The sequence below is a fragment of the Homo sapiens genome, chromosome 6, assembly GCF_000001405.40.
Source record: "Homo sapiens chromosome 6, GRCh38.p14 Primary Assembly".
NCBI lineage: Eukaryota > Metazoa > Chordata > Mammalia > Primates > Hominidae > Homo > Homo sapiens.
Window position 1 is genome coordinate 71,788,312 of NC_000006.12, and position 1,138 is coordinate 71,789,449.

Here is a 1,138-nt window from a genome sequence, read left to right on the forward strand (position 1 = left end):
ATCCTAAAAGGTAATTTTATTACCCAGTCAGCCACAAATCAGGAGAAAGCTCCAAAAGTGAGCCCTGGGCCCTGGACAAAATCTAGAGGCATTATTAAACCTGGCAACCTTGGTGTTCTATAATAGGGACCAAGAGGAACAGGCCCAAAAGTAAAAGCGAGATCAGAGAAAGGCCACAGCCTTAGTCATGGCCCTCAGACAAACAAACCTTGGTGGTTCAAGGAGGACAGAAAATGGAGAAGGCCAATCACCTGGTAGGGCTTGTTGTCAGTGTGGTTTACAAGGACACTTTAAAAAAGATTGTCCAATGAGAAACAAGCCGCTCCCAGTCCATGTCCGCTATGCTGAGGCAATCACTGGAAGGTGCACTGCCCTAGAGGACAAAGGTTCTCTGGGTAAGAAGCCCCCAACCAGATGATCCAACAACAGGACTGAGGGTGCCCAGGGCAAGCGCCAGCTCATGTCACCCTCACTGAGTCCCGGGTATGTTTAAGCATTGAAGGCCAGGAAATTGACTTCCTCCTGGACACTGGTGCGGCCTTCTCAGTGTTAATCTCATGTCCGGGACAACTGTCCTCAAGGTCTGTTACCATTCAAGGAACCCTGGGACAGCCTGTAACCAGGTATTTCTCCCACCTCCTCAGTTGTAATTGGGAGACTTTGCTCTTTTCACATGCCTTTCTTGTTATGCTTGAAAGTCCCACACCCTTATTAAGGGGGGATATATTAGCCAAACCTGGAGCTATTATCTACATGAATATGGGGAACTTAGTTACCCATTTGTTGTCCCCTGCTTGAGGAGGGAATCAACCCTGAAGTCTGGGCATTGGAAGGAACAAACTCAATCCCCAGCCTTAAGCCTTCCCACAGGAGAAAACTTCTCTTTATATGTCACAAGGAGAGCAGGAATAACTCTTGGAGTCCTTACTCAGACTCGTGGGACAACCCCACATCAGTGGCACACCTAAGTAAGGAAATTGATGTAGTAGCAAAAGGCTGGCCTCACTGTTTAAGGGTAGTTGCAGCAGTGGCTGTCTTAGTGTCAGAGGCTATCAAAATCACACAAGGAAAGGATCTCACTGTCTGGACTACTCATGATGTAAATGGCATACTAGGTGCCAAAGGAAGTTTATGGCTA